General features: G+C 46.2%; 1 protein-coding gene across 1 annotated transcript in view, besides 1 other annotated feature; it reads right to left on the bottom strand.

Moving 5' to 3' along the window:
* The window catches only part of RBPJ (recombination signal binding protein for immunoglobulin kappa J region), a 329,683-nt gene that overhangs the window by 284,594 nt on the left and 26,188 nt on the right, over nt 1-18,901 (bottom strand). The window lies entirely within an intron of this gene.
* Nucleotides 10,454-11,223: an enhancer, noted in NCBI's record as "H3K4me1 hESC enhancer chr4:26140937-26141706 (GRCh37/hg19 assembly coordinates)". NCBI's record gives its function as "activates a minimal SCP1, AML or CMV promoter by ChIP-STARR-seq in naive H9 embryonic stem cells {active_cell/tissue: H9 hESC(naive)}" and the evidence as "EXISTENCE:reporter gene assay evidence [ECO:0000049][PMID:30033119]".

Raw genomic sequence — 18,901 nt, 5'->3', positions numbered from 1 at the left:
CTAAGAATTAAGTGAGTTAATGTCTGCAAAGTGCTTTATGCAGCGCCCAACACACTGTAAGTGCTCTACAAGTGTTTGTTAAGTAGATATGCAGAGTGTAGGCAAAGCCATACTACTAAGGGGCTAAACATGGTTGCACCCAGTGGGGGTGAAAAGGCCTGGTTTCCAGCCTACCACTGTGACTCTGCCCTGAAGTGAGATCTTGGCCATGTTGTTTGGCCCCTCTAGGACCTGTGGTTCTCATCTGTAGGATGCATCTGATGATTAGGTAGGCTTTCTCAGGTCAAAGCATTACTGGTTGTGCAACACGTGATAGGGAATGCAAGCATAGGGAATATCACTAGATAATTTACCATGGACATCCAATTTTTGGAACAGCCTTGGGGATGGGGGCCTGTTTGTGAAATGGAAGAGTTTTTCCTACTGAATTCAGAAATTTATCTGATAAAAAGGAGCTCATTTCAGAGACATGTGTTTCTCTAGAACCTTGTAACCAGAGGCAGTGATAACATCAGAGGTATGGTTCAAGAATGTTACAGTGTGCAGGAGTTTTTAAATGCTAACTGCAATCTCACTGGAGAGGCTAAGAAACGTAAATTCTGCCTCTTGGAGTCTTGGGGCATAGCTGACACTGGAGAAGTTTGGTAAAGCTGGCAAACCTGGAGGAAAAGTCGGGAAGAAAGTTGATGGAGGAGAATTGGCCACCAGTGTGGCAAAGACATATGTCTTAGTCTGGTTTGTGTTGCTATAAGAGAACACCAAAAACTGAGTAATCTACAAAGAAAAGAAATTTACTTCTCATGGTTCTGGAGTCTGGAAAGTCCAATAACAAGGTGCTGGCACCTGGAGAGGGCCTTCTTGCTGTGTCATCCCATAGTGAAAGGTGGAAGGGCATAGATCATGAGAAAGAGAGAGAGAGAGAGCTGAGCTCACTTTTGTAACAAACCTACTCCCAAGATAATGACATTAATCTATTCATGTGACCTAATCACCTCTTAAGGATCCCACTTCCTAGTACCACCACATTGGGGATCAAGTTTGCAACACATGAATTTTGGGGAATACATCCGAACAATAGCAGCTTGGATTCCCCACTCACGGATACCTTGAAAGTAACACTGCTTAGTACTATTATCGATGATAGTAACCTTTGCCAAGTCCATCCAGCCCTTCTACCATTATCTCACTTGACCAGAGGCAGGACAGTAATAAATTGCCCTCCACTTGACAAATCACTGAAGAGAGGCTCAGAGAGGTTCAGTGACTTGCTAAACTTTTCACAACATTGAAGTTGGGGAGTTATTTAAACTTGAGATTCTAACTCCCTAATTCAGGTTTCTTCTCAGCCCTCAACAATGTCATGTATGTGACCTTTTCCATTTCCCTTATGACTCTGGAAAAACTGCTTCTCACTTCCTTCTTAAACTGGGCTCTGCTAATATCAGCCCTTCTTGAAGCACTTCATGGCAGGGCCAGTGAGGGAAATGTGGCCCCACTCTTCATGTTTCCATGTTGTGGGGAGACTTCACCACACTCCCAGTAGAGAAATATATGGAAGAAACACTTCTGCTACTTACCACTCTCTTTTTCTTTCTTCCTAGAAAGATAAGTAAATTTCTCAGGGGAAAGGTCTTCCCACAGTGGTCCTGATGGTCTTTTATTGCTCAGTTTCAGAGCATCCTGTTCTCTGGAGGCAGGCATCTTGGCTTCTCTGTAGAAACAGACCTGTGGTTTGGGACTCCAAATCATTTTCTGGAAGATGGTTTATCCCTAGGTCTTCAATCAGAGAAAGGTGTTCAGATGCCCAACAGGGTCTTTGACAGAATCTTCTCCAGTCTCCAGACAAACTGCCAGGAATAGCACTGCTTTTTTGCTATTTCTGGCAGGTCCCTCTGTCTATCTTTCATTTGGATTAGAGTAGACCATGTCCTTTTCCTTTAAACACTTTTTTCTTCTTGCTTCTTCTGATGCCCAATTCTATAAGAGTTGTCTGCCATGTTCACTTGACCTCTCCATCTCAGTCTCCTTGGCAGAATCCTCCTCTCACACTTGCCTTTTACTTTGAAGTCTGTCTTGAATCCCATTTTCTTTTCTGTGTATACATCCTCTCTGTGACCCCACTAGTCCTTTGTTTGAAGTACCTTCTACATGCTTTTCCTACCTAGTTCTTCAACGCTGACCTCTCCGAAACACACCAGACTCATAGCCACCTGCCTGCCTGACATTTCCTCCTGTGAGCCTAATGAACTTTGAATGCTCACTGGAAAAAATCCCAAATTTTAATTTCCTTAAGTAGTTCATCTCACAGTCTCTCCCTCTTGGTAAAAGGCACTACTATCTAGCCAGTTGCTTAAGTGAAAATCTAGGTGTTCTCTTGGATTCCACTCTCTCTCCCTTAAGTTCCACAATCCATCAAGAAGTCCTATAGACTACTTCCAAATCTTCTTCTTCTTTCCATGTCCTCTACCAGTGGTTCGTAAATGTTAGTATACACTAGAATCATCTGAGTGGGCCTGTTAAAACCAACTTGCTGAGCCTCAACTTCAGAGTTTCAGTAAGTTCAAGGTGGGGCCTGAAATGTGCATTTCTAACAAAGTTTGCAGATGTTGATGCGCTGGTCAGGAGCCATACTTTGAGAATCACTGTCCTATACAACATTACCAGCCCTATCAGGCCTTCCATGATCCCTCACCTAAACAAATTACTGCAACAGCCTCCTAATTGGGATCTGTATGTTTACTCTTATTTGATTTCATGGATTTTTATTGTGTTTTCTGACCTCCCAGTACTTTTTAAAAAGTTTTTCTTGGAGAATGGCTTGAACCCAGGAGGCGGAGCTTGCAGTAAGCCGAGATCACGCCACTGCACTCCAGCCTGCGACAGAGCGAGACACTGTCTCAGAAAAAACAGAAAAAAAAAGTTTTTCTTATATTTGGGAAAATTCCTCCTTTGGGAGTTTCACTCTCTGAAATTTGAACCTAGAAAACTCAAATTCCCAGCTTCCTTTGCAACTAGAATGTAAGCTGGTGACCGAGGCTCTGCCACTTGGTATACCTGGGAGAAGTTGATTCGGCAATGGTGAGCAACTTGAAGAAGGAAGATCACTGCAAACTCCTTGTTTTGCGGGGGCAAAAGCAGAGGTAACAGACTTTGAAAGTGACCGAAGTAGAGTTCCACACACAGAAGTGTCAGCAACAGGGCATCAGTAGCAGGGGTATCCTCCTTGTGGTTTTAGGAATTGTCTCTGGACCCTTGACCCAGAGTCCTGTTTTTCAGGGCCTTCAGATCTGTGAGCTTTCCAATGTCCTTTTAAGATAACTGTCTTTCTGCTAAACAAGCCAGAGTCAGCTTTACTGTTTGCAACTAAGAACTCTGAGTGGTACATTTTTTGGAATGCATTTTCTACAATGGAACTCACACACGTGTCTGATTCAATCACGCTTGAGGGCACACAACCTCCTCACCTCGGCTCAGAAAGCCCTCCAGGACCATGCCTTCCCTTCTGCGGCCACCTCATTGGGCAACTCCCTCCTCCTTTCCTACTTTGACGGAGCCGTTGTTCCTTTCCTTAAACATGCCAAGCTCGTGCCACACTCAGGGCCTTTGCACATGCTGTTGCTTCTGCCTGGAGGGTGCTCCCATTGGATCTTCAGGTGCCTGATTGCTCGATTTGTTTTATTTTGTTTTGCTTTTCATTCAGAGCTCAGATTGCTCAATTTAAATGAGCAATCTCTGTAGAGATCTCTTTCCTGACTGACTACACAATCCAACATGGTCAACATATCACAGTAGTTTGCTTTTCTGCAGAGCAGGAATCACTGTTGGATATTTTTCTTATGTGTTAATGTTTATTATGGGCCCCTCATACTCCTCAAAGAAGATAAACCCCATGAGAGCAGGAGTTGTGTTTACAAATATTTTCTCCCAGTCTTGTGCTTGTCTTTCCATATTCTTAATGGTGTCTTGTGAAGCACAAAAATGTTTGAGGAGGTCCTACTGATCAATGTATTCTTTTACAGGTCACACTTGGGGTGTCATAACTATGAAATCTTTGTTTAACTCAAGGTCTTGAAGATTTTCTCCTGTACTGACTTCTAAATGTTTTCTTGTTTTAGTTGTTACATGTAAGTCTATGATCCGATTTGAGTTAAATTTTGTATATAGTGTGAGTCAAGGGTCTAAGTTCATCTTTTTGCATGGGATAGCTGATTGTCCCAGAACCATTTGTTAAAAAGCCTCTCTTTTCCCCAGTAAATTATGTTGGCACTTTTGTTGAAAATCAGTTGACCAAGGCTGGGTGCACTGGCTCATGCCTGTAATCTCAGCACTTTGGGAGGCCGAAGTGGAAGGATTGCTTGAAGGCAGGAGTTCGAGACCATCCTGGGCAACATGGTAAAACCCTACCTCTACAAAAAATGTTTTTAAATTTAAAAAGTAGCCGGGCATGGTTGCATGTGCCTACAGTTCTAGTTACTGAGGAGGCTGAGGTGGGAGGATTACTTGAGCCCAGAAGGTCAAGGCTGTAGTGACCTATGATCATACGATTGCACTCATCCTGGGTGGCAGAGTGAGATCCTGTCTCTAAAAAACAAACAAACAAACAAAAAATTGACCAAAATAAAAGAACTTATTTCTAGACTCTCAAGTCTGTTCCATTGATCTATGTGTCTATTTGATGATTTTCTTTGGTATCATTTGTCTCTTTAATCCTTCTGAAATTTATTTTGACTCATAGTAGAAGTTTAGAGCCCAACTAGAGGTTTTTCTCCTCAAAAGAGCTAATGAAGATCCCAGCATCATTTATTAAATAATCGTCCTTTTCTCCATTGATTTGCCCCATTTATCAATGGTTAAAAGACATTTACCAAAACCTCCTCCGTATTATTCTGACTGGTCCCAGTTCTTCCCACCCAGCATTTTAGAAGTCCCCAGTCCTGTGTTGTTTAACCAAATGACAAAAATTGTCCCTGCCTCTAAAGAGCTTACGTGGGCAATTACAGAAGAGGACATTGATATGTTAGGACAATAAACATAGGACAGATATTTGCACTGGACTCGAAGATTAGTGCATTTGTAGAACAGTAACTGACATGAAGGGATTCTCAGGGGAGTTTCATGTTTACTTTGGGTGGGGCTGTGGACACTTAATCTAAAAGTCACCCAGCCTCTGCTCAGATCACTCCCACCTGTTTGTCTGACACCATCTTAATCTGATGGTGGTTGTGGGGTTTTTAAACACTAAATGGCTATGAAATTCTGCAGAAGACTCCACCCACTCCAACAGAGTTTAAAAGTTCAACATTTTTCTCAATAAAGACACCGAAGGCATAGTTGTAAAATTTCCAGAAGACCTAAGTCTGGGACGAGCAGCTTGTATGACAGGTGATCCAATTAAAGTTCAATTGGTCTTGACAGGCTGGAAAAACTGTTGAAACCAGGAAGATGAAATGAAACTCAGAAAAATGTAAACTACTACATTTTCATTTTGTCTCAAAAAAAAAAAAAAAAAGAAGAAGAAGAAGGCAGGTTGAGGGAGACTTACTAAAAAGAATCTGAAATTTTCAGTTGCCTGAAAACCCAGTATGGTTGATTTGACTTGGACCTGTTCTGTCTGCAAGGCACAGTGACATAAATTCGAGTGAAGACACATATAAAAGAGTGAAGAAATCACAGGGAGGGAAGGGAGACTGGAATCAATTTCACTGGCTCCGGAATCAAAGTCAGGCTTCCCCAGTCTGTCACCCAGGCTATACAATGGAACTGCATTGCATGTGGGACTAGATCAAAGGCAACAACAAAAGAAAACATATTACAAATCTTGAGGTCCAAATTTCCCAAGTCATCAGCTACTGGGGTGTGGGTGGCTAAGCCTAGGAATGAACTTACTCTCTTTTTGCATTTCAGCCATACCTATCCTCTTTCTGGAATTTAGAAGGTTGGAGGATAGAAAGAAATGAAAGAATTTTTAGGCTGGGTGCAGTGACTCACATCTGTAATCCTAGCAGTTTGGGAGGCTGAGGTGGGTGGATCCCCTGAGGTCAGGGGTTTGAGACCAGCCTGGCCAACAAGGCGAAAACCCATCTCTACTAAAAATACAAAAATTAGCTGGGCATGGTGGTGCATGCCTGTAATCCCAGCTACTCGGGGGGCTGAGGCAGGAGAATTGCTTGAACTCAGGAGCAGAGGTTGCAGTGAGCCAAAACTGCACTACTGCACTCCAGCCCAGGCGACAGAGTGAGACTGTGTCTCAAAAAAAAAAAAAAAAAAAAAGAATTTTCTTACTCCCTCTTATGCTCTCTTCCCCTCTATAAAAAAATTGAAACAAATAAATCATTGACAATTTATTTAAATCTTGAGTTGCATTTTGCAACTTGTTTATACCTATTATAGAAGTGATTTTATTAAAAATTCAAATTGCATGAAAACTTTATAGATATCTTGTACACTAAAAAATATTTTTATTCTATATACACTGTTTTGTGGCCTTTTGAAATTTAACACATAATATAAAGTTTATCTTTTCATTAGATATTTTTCTACAATAATGTCTTTTGACTGTTTTTAGCAATGAACTATTTTTTAATGTGAATCTGTTTTTTGTTTGTTTTTTGAGATAGAGTCTTGCTTTGATGCGCAGGCTGGAGTGCAGTGGTACCATCTTGGCTCACTGCAACTTCTTCCTCCAGAGCTCAAGTGATCCTCCTGCCATAGCCCCCAGAGTATCTGAGACTACAGGTGTGTGTCACCATGCCCGGCTAATTTTCCTATTTTTTTGTAGAGACGGGGTTTTGCCATGTTGTCCAGGCTGGCCTTGAACTCCTGGGCTCAAGCCATCCACCTGCCTTGGCCTCCCAAAGTGCTGGAATTACAGGCATAAGCCACCACGTCCAGCCTTAATGTGAAAGCTTAATGGTTATTTATTGCTGTGTAACAAACCACCTCAAACTTAGTGGCTTACAAAAATAACAATCTTTTAGTCACTCATGATTCTGTAATTTCTGTAGGCTCAGCAAAGAAAAACCCATCTCTTTTCCACATGATGCTGGCTGCAGTGGCTCCACTGGAGCTGGAAGAACCACTTCCAAGATGGCTCCACTACAAGTAACACAGGGCCCTGGAAGTCATTCATTGGAGGAACTTTGGCTTTTACGCTTTGCGAGATGAGGGTTTTGAGCACAGGAGTGACGTGATACAACTTACCTGTTAAGAAGATTTCCTTGGCTGCTGTGTTGGGAATAAATTGAAAGAGGGATGAGGTGTATGGCACAGGGGGACTGGTTAGGAAGTGACTGCCATAACTCAGGTGAGAGACAAAGGTGGCTTGGACCACTGAGGGAGCAGAGAGATAATCAGATGGGATTGAATTTGGATTAACATGCATCTATGCTGGCTTCTCCTTATTTAATCATATTATTATGAAATATGAGTTAATTTCAGTGTAAGGTTTGAGGTAGTCATTACATAGTGAAATGCTACGCCTATAATCCCAGCACTTTGGGAGGCCAAGGTAGGTGGATCACCTGAGGTTAAGAGTTTGAGACCAGCCTGGCCAACATGATGAAACCCCATCTCTACTAAATATACAAAAATTAGCCGGGCATGGTGGTGCCTGCCTGTAATCCCAGCTACCTGGGAGGCTGAGGCAGGAGAATCCCTTGAACCTGGAAGGCAGAGGTTGCAGTGAGCTGAGATTGCACTACTGCACTCCAGCTTGGGCAACAGAACGAGACTCTGTCTCTCTCTCTCTCTCACACACACACACACATACACACACACACACTCAAAATAGACAAATGCTTCTTGAATGCCTATTCTTTCTCCTGTGCCTGCACAGTGCAGGAAACTCACTGGATACACAAGAAGTGTCTGTAGGTTGACCCCAACAGTTCACTTAACTTAGGTGACATCTGAGCATCTACAAATGAAGACCTTGGTCATGTCCTCTGATAAGGCATGTGTGATACCTGTGAACACTTTGCAATTTAGATTCCTTCACGATAGAGCCAGCTCTTCCCCATCCAAGAGCCTTCTACTCCCAACTAGAGTGTACCATTTCCTAATGATCCTGTTAAGCCGCCACCTTCCTCTCACCAGCTGCCCAGTGAAGGCCCAACAAATGTGGATTGAGCTCAACTGCATCCCACTGGCCTCCACTCTGGCTGGAATGATGTGGAGTGAGATTCTTTAGATCCAATTCCTGGAGGCCTCTGAGTGGTGGCATATCATCCTGGGCTATGTGTGTCTTTTTTCTTTTCTCTTTTTCTCCCTTCTGGGAGACTCCGTGTTCTGCAGCTGTTACATCAGCCAGCTGCCCAGCTGCCAGATGAACAGAAGATTCAAGTTGGTGACTACTCACATCTGTACTTCTCAAAAGCAAACAGAACAGATGCCCTTAGCAGTGGGGCTCCTGGGCTCAGGGCAGGGGAAATGTACCCTGAAGGGGGAAGTTTCCCTTCTAAGAGCTGACGGAGCCACTTAACCACGGCAAGGAACATCGTGAAACAGAACATTAAACTTTGATGAACTGCAAAGCCTCAGAGGTTTAAGCTGCGAGTCAACAAAGATGTTCTAATCTATATAAACACTCTGCATGCAAATTCCGGCACAGCTTTTTGCCTTATTTGGATGGTGTTTTTGATTGCTTCTTTTGGGGGAAGGGGCTCTGAAGGCAAGAAGAGATTCTGCTAGAAGTAGAGTAGAATGGCAGGAACTGGAGGCTGGGAAGGGAAAGGGGGAGGAGAGGATAAGGAGAGGTTGGTGAATGAACGCAAAATTACAGCTAGACAGGAGAAATGAGCTCTAGTATTCTATAGCTCTGTAGGGTAACTATAGTTAGCAGCAATTTGTTGCACATTTTCAAATAGCCAGAAAAGAAGACTTGAATGTTGCCAACACAAAGAAATGACAAATGCTCGAGGGCATGGAAATGCTAATTATCCTGATCTGATCCTCATACGTTGTATGCATAGATTGAAATGTCACTCTGTATCCCATAAATATGTGCAATTATGTGTCAGTTAAAAAAAATAGATGCTGTGGTTTTCTTATTAACTTGGGGGTAGGAAGTGTTCCTGGGCGTTCCGGGCCTGGCTTGGGTCCTGCCCTGGGGCCTGTGCTGCAGCCTGGCCTTCCTGGGTCCTGCACTTAGAGCTTCTTCCCACCCGCAGGAGTGGGGTAGGAAGTATCTGAGTGCTGGGCTCGTCCCTGGCCTGCCGTTACATTCTTTCTCCTGAAGGCTTTTAGCCCAAGGCCTAGTGCTGGGTTAGAGAGGCCAGAGTTGGAGCAGGAACATCCACGCATGAATAACAACTGCAAGAGCAAATTGATTATTTACTGTGGGCTGGACACACCCTCTGAGGACTTATCCTTTCATTTAATTCTCAGCACAGCCCAGAAAGTAGGTAGGATTATTGGCCTTGTCTTATAGACAAAGGGGCTGAGGCCCAAGATAGTAAAGGGAGTTGCCCTGGGTCACACAAATCCAGGATCTACCCCAGACAGTCTTATTCCAGAGTGTGGATTCTTAACCATCTTAACAACCTGCCTGGCTCTCATTCTTGGAGCAGAAAGAGGAGATGAATTGTTCAGAGATGTTAAGGGAAAAGAAAGCAGAGCTTTTCCTTGCTATGTTAGAATTCTCCTCTGCCATTCTCAAATATTGCAAATATTTTATTTATTTATTTATTTATTTATTTATTTATTTGTGGAAGGGTCAGTGTCCCAGATTGGGCTCGGGCATCCACTTCTCCCTGTGGCTCCAATTCTGCCTCCAGGAGCGGTCCTTGGCCCAGACCTAACTAATCAAAACACTAGGGCGGTGCTGGACCCAGACCTAATTAATCAAAACGCTGGTGACCATCCTGGGATGAAGTCAGGCCAATCAGAGGCAATGTGATTTGGGGGGTGGGGGGGTGGGGCGGCTTTGGCTTGAGCTTCCAGGGCAGTAGTCTTGCTCTTTTGTCACTGACTGTGAGCCAGGGAGGAAGGATGTAGCCCCTGCCCATCGGGAGCCATTTTGTCACCACGAATGGAGATCCAGTCTGAGAATAGAATCAACGCAGGGAGGAGAGCCAAGTTGGGGGAGAGTGACACCAGATCCTGACCTCATCCTTTGGGCATCTGAACCAAGCCATGTACTCTTCAGTTATGTGTGCTCATAAAATGTTATTTTTGCTGATGTCAGTTTGGGGCAGGTTTACTGCTGCTTGTAACCAAAAGAATCCTAGTAGAGACATGAAGCCTTCAGTACATTTGTGGTTTGTGCCACAGCCTGGGCTGTCACTGGGCAATTAAGGAGGCCCCTGTGTCCTCTTCCCAGCATGCAGCAGCCTAGGGGATGCCAATCAAGGCTGTGGTAACAGTATTAGCAAATGCTGTGTGACATTTACGTAGTACTGTTCCAAGTGCTTTTATCCATATGAGTTCACTGAAGTCACCACTATCTCTAATTTTTTAAATGGGAACTGGAGGCCCAGAGAGGTTGGAGAACGTATGCAAGATGACACAGCTCCTAAATTTGGGTGTAGTGGGGCTGGGTTCTAAGGCAGCCATCATCAGGGGTATGCTCTCAGCATTCTGTCCCACCCCTCTCATGACCTACAGCCAGAGAACAGAGGCTCCAGGTGGGTCTGTGGGACACAGGAGCATCTTTGTAGAATATAGAGTCTTCTTAAAAATTTCTTTAATTCTTAAAAATTAAGTACAGAAACATGAGTGAAAATTCAACAGCCTCTGATTAAGGAAATTCTTAACCACTGAGCACAGGCAAAGACGCTCATCTCTTTGGCTTTCAGTCTGACTTACTGATCCACCCATGTCACTGAGAGGAACAGAAAACAGAGGCCCCTGTGGCCCCACTCTGTGCAATGCCAGGCTCCATTTGCCTCTGCCTGTCTCTGCCTCATTTCTCCAGGCTCTGCCTTGCCCAGAACCCAGCAGAGGCCCACTGAGTGCTCCTGGGTAAGGCTCACCTGCTGGGAGGCCTCAGCACAGCCCCAGGGGGGACACAGCTTCACTGAGCTGCAGGCTGTGACTGGCTCTCATTCTGTCTGCATCTCCAGCTGGGAGCCCGCATGCCACTGTGGATGCTAAGTGTTGAATTAAAGAAAGGGGAAGCCTTGAGCTTCTACTTTGTTCCTGGCCCCTTCCCTGCCCCAGTACCCAACCCACTGGTCCCTCGCAGAATCCCAGCTTTTTTTTAGTACCCAATAAATAACGAAGGAGCTCAACAATGGGCTGGGCACTACACTAAGCACTTAACATGAACTTATTCTTCAAGAAAACCTTATAAAGGAGGAATTATTACTTCCACTGCCCAGATGAGGAAACTGAGTCTCCAAGAGGTTCTTAGAGGGCAGTGGCTGGAATGTGTTGGAACCAGAGATTGGGTCTGTGGCCGTGTGCCTGTGAGCTTATGCCTTGGGCAGGGCTGTCTCCCTAACTTCTGGCTGCTGTGATGGGCTCCCGCCTCTCGGAACCTCAGGTGCTGGCAGCTGCCTGGGTTGTCCTGAGCTGGCCCAGCCCTTTGGATGTCCGGGATTGTTGGCTGTTACTCCATTGGCCCACCTCCCTCTTTCCTCTTGAGCGCAGAGCAATCTCAGGTGGTCCTAATTATCCCCAGCTTCTTGCCTAGCACTTCATGGAACCCCTAAGCCTTGCTCTTCTCCAGTCCTGCTACCAAGACAAGCTGAAGTCATATACTGTCTCCCAGGTCAGCAAGATTGGCCCTCAGGCCTCATTCCTTCTTGTTCTTTGGGGCAGGATTGGAGCATGAGGAACAGATGGATAAGAGGCTGCTTCTAAGCTGCTCTCTAGTGTCTATGAAGTGGTTCATGTACTCCACATTGGTCACTAACATGGGACGGCCTCTGCCCTCAGCTTTGGGGCTCATTCTAAACATGCTCTCTGGAAAGACTCAGACTCCAGAGCAGCGACATTTCTCTGGCTGTGTTTGGTGGGGATTACCACTCCCAGCCAACTCTTGATTATCTGTGGGAGAAGGGAAAGGATAGACATCCCCAGGTAACCCTGGAACTTAGTTCCGCCAACATCTCTGAGGCTCTTCTGTTGAGCCTCTTTCCAGAGCAGCTACCAAGAAGTTAAACATGTGGGCTTGGTTTTCGCATCCTCTCCTCTTTTCATCCCTGCTCTGCCTTTTTTTTTTTCTCTAGTGCCAGAGAGGCCCCAGCATCGGACAGGGAGAGGCAGGGGCAGCAGAAGATTGATGTAACCAGGCATCCTGCTGTAAATAACAAAACCCAACTCAGGCTGGCTTCAACAGTGGAAGGTATTTATTTGCATGAGCCAAAATGTCTGGAGGTTGGGATGATATCAGGTAAGGTTTGCTCCAGCAACAAACTGAGGTCACCAAGGCCATGTTTCTCTGTCTGCCTCCCACAGTGTAGGCTTCATTCTGGGGCCTCACACAGTGGTCTCCTGGCAGTTCCAGGGTCTCAACTTATAGCAGCAGATAGCTATGACAGTGCCAGACCTTCTATGGTCTAAGGGAAGATATCATGTCTTCTGGTAGCTTCTAGATATGTTTGAGAAATCACACTCCCTCATTGGTTCAGACTGAGTTGCATGCTCTTCCCCAAGTCAATCACTGTGTCAGGAGGAGGGTTTATCCTTATTAGGTTAAGCTAACTGGGGCCCGTCCCTGAAGGGGGGCAGGGCCAATTCCAGTCAATATGCATTCCTGAGACTAGGGAGGGCTGAATCCCCCAAATGGAAATCAGGGTATTTTGACAGATGGAGGGAGGCAGTTCATCATTTGATGACCCATAGGCCAGGTTGAGAGCATCCAGGTGACAGCTGTGCCTGACAGTGAAATGAGGTACATGTTTTCCAAAGCCATTCTGTTTTCCTCTGTTAGATCCTCAGGAAAACCTGTGTGTCAACTACAGCAGCCAGGCATTATATTCCATGTTTTACAAATGAAGCGAAGAGGCTCGGAGAGGTACGGTGGCCTGCAGCACACCCCCAGCCATACTTGGTAGGACCTGGACTTGACCCCACACTGCTTCTCTCCATAGTACTCTGATGGGCAGCTAGCAGCTGGCAGGGCACAGGGAGGTCACAAAGCAGTGTCATCTGCTGCATCCCTGATGATGGATTTGTTTAGAGCCAAGAAAGAAGTTCAAGGCCTACACACGGACAGTTCAGAAACCAAGGTTACCAGAGGGTAGGGAGTGGGATCAGCAGACTCTACAATGAGAGGGTGGGTCAGGACACACGCATACAACTTTGGGGGACAAGATCTCCCCCAAATCCTGTGAGCTGCAGAACATAAAGCTGGGGTGGGAAAACATCCCAGAGGCTTGTGAAGGAGAGACTTCCAAAGCCTGTGCCTTCTCTGCTGAGCTTGGCTGCTGACCCTCCCAGCCCACAGGCATTCCCTTCACCACCATCCGCCTCTCCCACTGCTCCTGTGGGGAAATTACACCTGGGAACCTAGTGGAGCATCCCAGAAGGCAGGGGCACTTCTTCCACTTTTGTCTTGTCCCCCATTTGTGAAGCTTCTGCTGAATAGACAGGCTTGTTTATTTCCGCAATTTTGTCTAGTTCTACAAGTGACTCTTGAAGATGTTTACGTGGTACAAAGGCAAGTTTTGGGATCAGCAGTACTTGGATTTCAGTTTCAGATCTACCACTTATTGGCTGTGTGACCTTTCTCATCTATGAGACAGGCAAATAATAGTCCCAGCCCCTCAGTGCCATTGGGGAAAAGATAAATAAGGAAGTTAGATATGCTAAGTGCTCAGTGAATAGATTCATATGTGAAAGTGTTTACAGTAGTGCCTGGCACAAAATACCTGGTTTTAAAAAAAAGTTCCCAATGATAATGATGATGATCATGATGTTTCTAAGGGCCTGTTATGATAACTTTTCTTTTCTGTGTAAGTAATCTAAATTGTTGTCAGGCCTGACCACTGCCAGGATGCTGCCAGTGGCAATCCAAGGAGAGGCATGGGGGCAGGGATGGGGGTAGCTGACTGTTTCCATCCAAAGTCTTCCTCCCTCTCCCTCTGTTACTTCCCTGCAGTCTCTTGCTTCTGGGTCATTCAAGGAGGCATTGCCCACCCAATTTCCACGCCATGGCAGGAGATGTGGAGGCTGGGATGAGGGAGTCAACAAGGAAGGGCTCCTGGGGCAGGACTGGACTGCACCCGAGGTTCAGCATTGGGGGTGTGCCCATGGAGCTGGGGATAGATGGGAGAGGAGGGCTGGGGAGCCAAGATCTTGTGACCTGGGAGAGAAGGGATTCTTTCAGCTCCCTGGATTGTGAAGCTGGGTCCATGATATGGTTTCATTGTGTCCCCACCCAAATCTCACCTTGAATTGTAATAATCCCTATGTGTCAAGGGTGGGCCAGGTGGAGACAATTGAATCATGGGGATGGTTTCCCCATACTGTCCTTGTGGTAGCGAATAAGTCTCACGGGATCTGATGGCTTTAAAAATGGGAGTTCTTCTGCATAAGCTCTCTTGTCTGCTGCCACGTAAGACATGACTTTGCTCCTCATTTGCCTTCCACTGTGATTGTGAGGTCTCCCCAGCCATATGTGAGTCAACTAGACCTCTTTCCTTTATAGACATACCTTTTACAGTCTCAGGTATGTCTTTATTGGTAGCGTAAGAACAGACTAATACAGTCCATCTCTGAGCTTCTTCTTCAAGCAGAGCTGCCAGGTATGACCCACCACATGTGGGGTTGACCTCTTCAGCTCCCATTGCTTGGGTGTTCCTATGTCAGAGGCTGTTGCAAACTTCCCAGGCGAGCTGTGAAGTTCAGCGCGTGATGGTCAACAAGTAATGAGCATCCCTTCCTCCTCACAGCTGAATGCAGCTCCTTCTTCCTCAATACCTAGCCAGGCCTTTTAGGTTTCTGCCAAACAGGACAGAGGGAAGTTTATTGGTAGAAGCTCCGAGGAGGCAGGCTGGAAAGAGCCTCAGGCCTAAGGTCAAGCCACTTGGGTTCATATCTCAGCTCTTCTGCTTGCAGGATTTATGACCTTGGGCAATTGCCCAACCCACTGGAGCTCGGTTTCCTCAGCTGTAAAACGAGGATTGCTAATGTTGGCCTCATCTGCCTCACAGGGTTGTTGCGTTTAAATCCCATGTCCACCACTTCCTATCAAAGTAGCCATAAATCATCCTCAGCTTTCTCATCTGTAAAGTGGGGATACACACACTCCTTCAGAGGGTTGTGGTGAGGGTGAAATGAGGGGACGGATGCAAGTTGCTCATCACAATGGGGCTATGAGCATTGGTAAGTTCCAAGGTGTGCTAAGATCTGGAATTAGGGAAGAAGGTGCAGTTTTCTTTAGTAATGGAGAGAGATGTAGACCCTCTTAAATCCAAGTCTCCCTGTGGGGCACATTGAGGATGTTGAGGGGTGAATAGGACCACAGATCCCCAGGGTACAGAATTCAAGAGGCAAGGCAAGCTGTCTAAGGATGTCAAGGAGGAATGCAGTGAGGAAGGAGGCAGACCAAGGCCTACCCTGGGGACTTCAGGAAATGCTGCAAGGTGAGCCCCCGAGCTGCAGAAAGAACTGTGGTACCGAAGACCTGCCACTGCCTCTGCTGGAGTTGCTGTGTCTCAGGGCGAGTTTCCTTTAGATGATGGTCGTTCATGCCATCATGGAGACTTGACGATCTTGAGATCCCAAATGTCAAAGCTCCTGGTGACCAGCTCTTTCAGTTCATGCACCTGCAGCCATTTCCTCACAGCACACCCAGAGTTCCAGGGCCACTGTGTGTGTCAAGTACTTGGGTTTGTAAAAACCAACTCCTTCAACGAGTTACCTGCTCGTTGAAGGAGCTAAGCTCCTCAAAGGGTAGCTTCCATTTCTATCGGAATCTCCTGGGGATCTTTGGTAAAACGCACATTTCTGGACACCATCCTGGAATGAGAATGGGCTAGGGAAGCACTGGGAAGTTGCATTTGCAGGGAGCACCCATGTGGGTCTTCTGGCAGGAAAACCATTGGCCAAAGGAAATAAATGAACATTTTATTAACCACTGAACTCTCCTTACACTTTCTCCATGAGACAGTCCTCCACTCTCAGGGCTGACTTCATGGGTGTGAGACTGGAGCACTTGCACGGGGCCTGTGCTTAGAAGTGTCCCAGCCAGGGTTTAATACTCTGTTGTCGCCATCTTGAAATTCTTAATAGCTTTTGAACAAGAGCTTCCTGCAAATTATGTCTCAGGTCATGTCCTCTAAATAGATGAGAACTGCAGAAAGGATAGACTTGCCCAGGACCACAGGGCTAAGTTGTGAAAAGGCGTTTGGTATCCTGCTGTGTTTGATTCCAAAGCTCTGCTATCCCATGACGTTGAGACCCAAAAAGAATGAACTCTAAATAGGGTTCATTTAAACCCTCTAAATAGTAGTGTTTCAGATTTCAACCATCCTGTCAGGACCCAGGAAATTTCAGGGGGAGGGGAGGACCTCTTCCAGGAACCCTCACACTATACCAGGTAGGTTACTCATAAGGATAATGATGATTTATAAACGTATTCAACTTTAGGGTAGGGAAGCTTCTATGCAGCTCCCTCTGACAGTCCCTGTTGGAGAGCTAGGGTAGAGAAACCCTCTGTTTCCTTCCTTCATCTTTAAAGCTTTGCTATTCAGAGAAAATAAGGCAAAGAAGCAGAGTAGGAGTGGATAGAATCTAGAGTCTGAAGAGGGGGCTCTAAAGCCAGCTCTGTTACCTACTAGATCAGCGGTCCTCCACCTTTTTGACACTAGGGACCACCTGGTAGAAGACAATTTTTCCATAGACTGGGGGCGGGGAGGGGAGGAAGGAAACTGTTCCACCTCAGATCATCAGGCACTAGTTAGATTCTCACAAAGACTTCACAACCTAGATCCCTCATATGTGCAGTTCCCTATAGGGTTCACGCTCCTATCAGAATCTAATACCACTGCTGATCTGATGGGAGGCAGAGCTCAGGTGGTAATGCTTGCTCACCTACTGCTCACCCGCTGTGTGGCCTGGTTTCTAACAGGCCATGGACCATATGGGTCTGCAGCCTGGGGTTAGGGGCCCCCTGTGAATAATAGTAGAGCAATGAGTCCCTTGAACTCTGAGTCTCAGTTTTTTGTTTGTTTGTTTTTTAGTAGAGATGAGGTCTTGCCTGTTGCTCAGGCTGGTCTTGAGCTCCTGAGCTCAAGCAATCTGTCTGCCCTCACCTCAAAGTGCTGGGATTCCAGGCATGAACCATTGCACTTGGCCTTGAGTCTCAGTTTTTTATCTGTAAACTGGGGTGATGGAAACACAACGAATTCCCAAAGTCAAGATGAGGGTCCAATGAGCAGACATACGTGAAAACAGTATGTAAAGGGCTGTCTCAGATGATGGCTATTGCTATGACAGTTGACTGGTGCATGTGCAAGGAAATGGTTTGGCCAGAGAGGACACCTGCCTGGGTCACACCGAGGTTTCACCTCAGGGCAGGCACCTCTGGTGGCCTCAAGGTGGAGCTGAAGCTCAGGTGTGACCTGGTTTGGGAAAGACGTAGGAAGGCTCATGGAACCCAAAGGGAGGTGGCTCTTGGCTTTTCTGCCACAAAGGGAGGCAGAGCTACCAATAACAGTACGAAAACCCACCTATGATGGAGCAGGGCCTTAGGGATTTAGAAGCACAGACACGGGCTTTCTGGTTGTTAGGTAAGGACCCTGCCCCCTCTTGCATCAGGGCTGGGATGTGGGGTGGGGGGGTTGAGAAGTAAAGAGTAACAGAAAAGAGGCCCCAGAGAAAGAAGTTGGTTACACCCCAGTGACAGTGGTTTTGTTTTGTTTTGTTTTTGAAGCAGTTTTTGCTCCAAATCTTTACTTTTAGACTGTAGGGCTAAGTCAGTCCTCTGAGGCTATGGCCAGCGAAGACCCAGGGGTTTCCTGGAAGAAAAGGGTATATGAGTCCTGGGGCAGAGAGAGAGGTACAGTGCAGCGGGAGGGCAGGTGGTCCCAGTGGCTCCCAGCTTCCACAGCCAAGGGTGGGGCCTCCCAGAAGCCTCAAACCCACACTCCTGGGCAGACAGCTCTGGAAGGAGCAGGTGCCATGAGCAGCTCTGGGAGGAGCAGGTGCCATGAGCAGCTCTGGAAGGGAGCTCAGGTGGGCACACCTGGGGGTGGCTGAGCCCACCCTAATTAGGCTCAAGGTCCAAGAGATACAATAATTGTCTGATGCTGGGGGAAGAGGGTTCTTACTGAGTTTCTTAAAGTGGGGCCCAAGGGTCCTTGAGTGCCTGCAGGTGAATCTTGGAGTCCACAGAGTCTCTGTGAGAATATTTAAATTTTGTGTTTTCATATGGATGGTGACCTAAAAAAATAGTTAGTCAGTCTAAGCATAGACTGGGTCATATGAATTAGAGACCTTCAAACTTTTTTTTTTTGGCAGCCACCCACAGAAGGAATCCATCTTACACAGTGGCCCAGTTTCCGTCACTGATGTCCATGCACAAATAGAACTGACAGACAGCCAGTCTAGACCAGTCCAGGTGTACCAGTTGTGAAAATACTATAATACTCCAAACCACTTGAGAAATGGCTCTGAGCCTACGTGTCACCACCCTACCCCGCTAATAGTCTTGGTACTTCCTCGGGGATTGCCTTCAACTACCCCCGAAAGCACCCACCAGTGGTGGTGAGGGGAGAGGTGGGATCTATTGGTTTCCTGTGGCTGCTGTAACAAACAACCACAAATGGGGTGGTTTCAAAAACAGAATTCATTCTCTCCCAGCTTGGGAAGCCGCAAGTCTGAAGTCAGTTTCACTGGGTCAAAACCAAGGAGTCAACAGGGCCACCATTCTGTCTTGATCAAATCTCCCTCTGTCTTTCTCTTATAAGGATACCTGTGATTACATTTAGGGCCCACATGGATAATCCAGGAA

Source organism: Homo sapiens, chromosome 4 (assembly GCF_000001405.40).
Source record: "Homo sapiens chromosome 4, GRCh38.p14 Primary Assembly".
Classification (NCBI taxonomy): Eukaryota; Metazoa; Chordata; class Mammalia; order Primates; family Hominidae; genus Homo; species Homo sapiens.
This window is presented reverse-complemented; position numbering and strand designations above follow the sequence as displayed.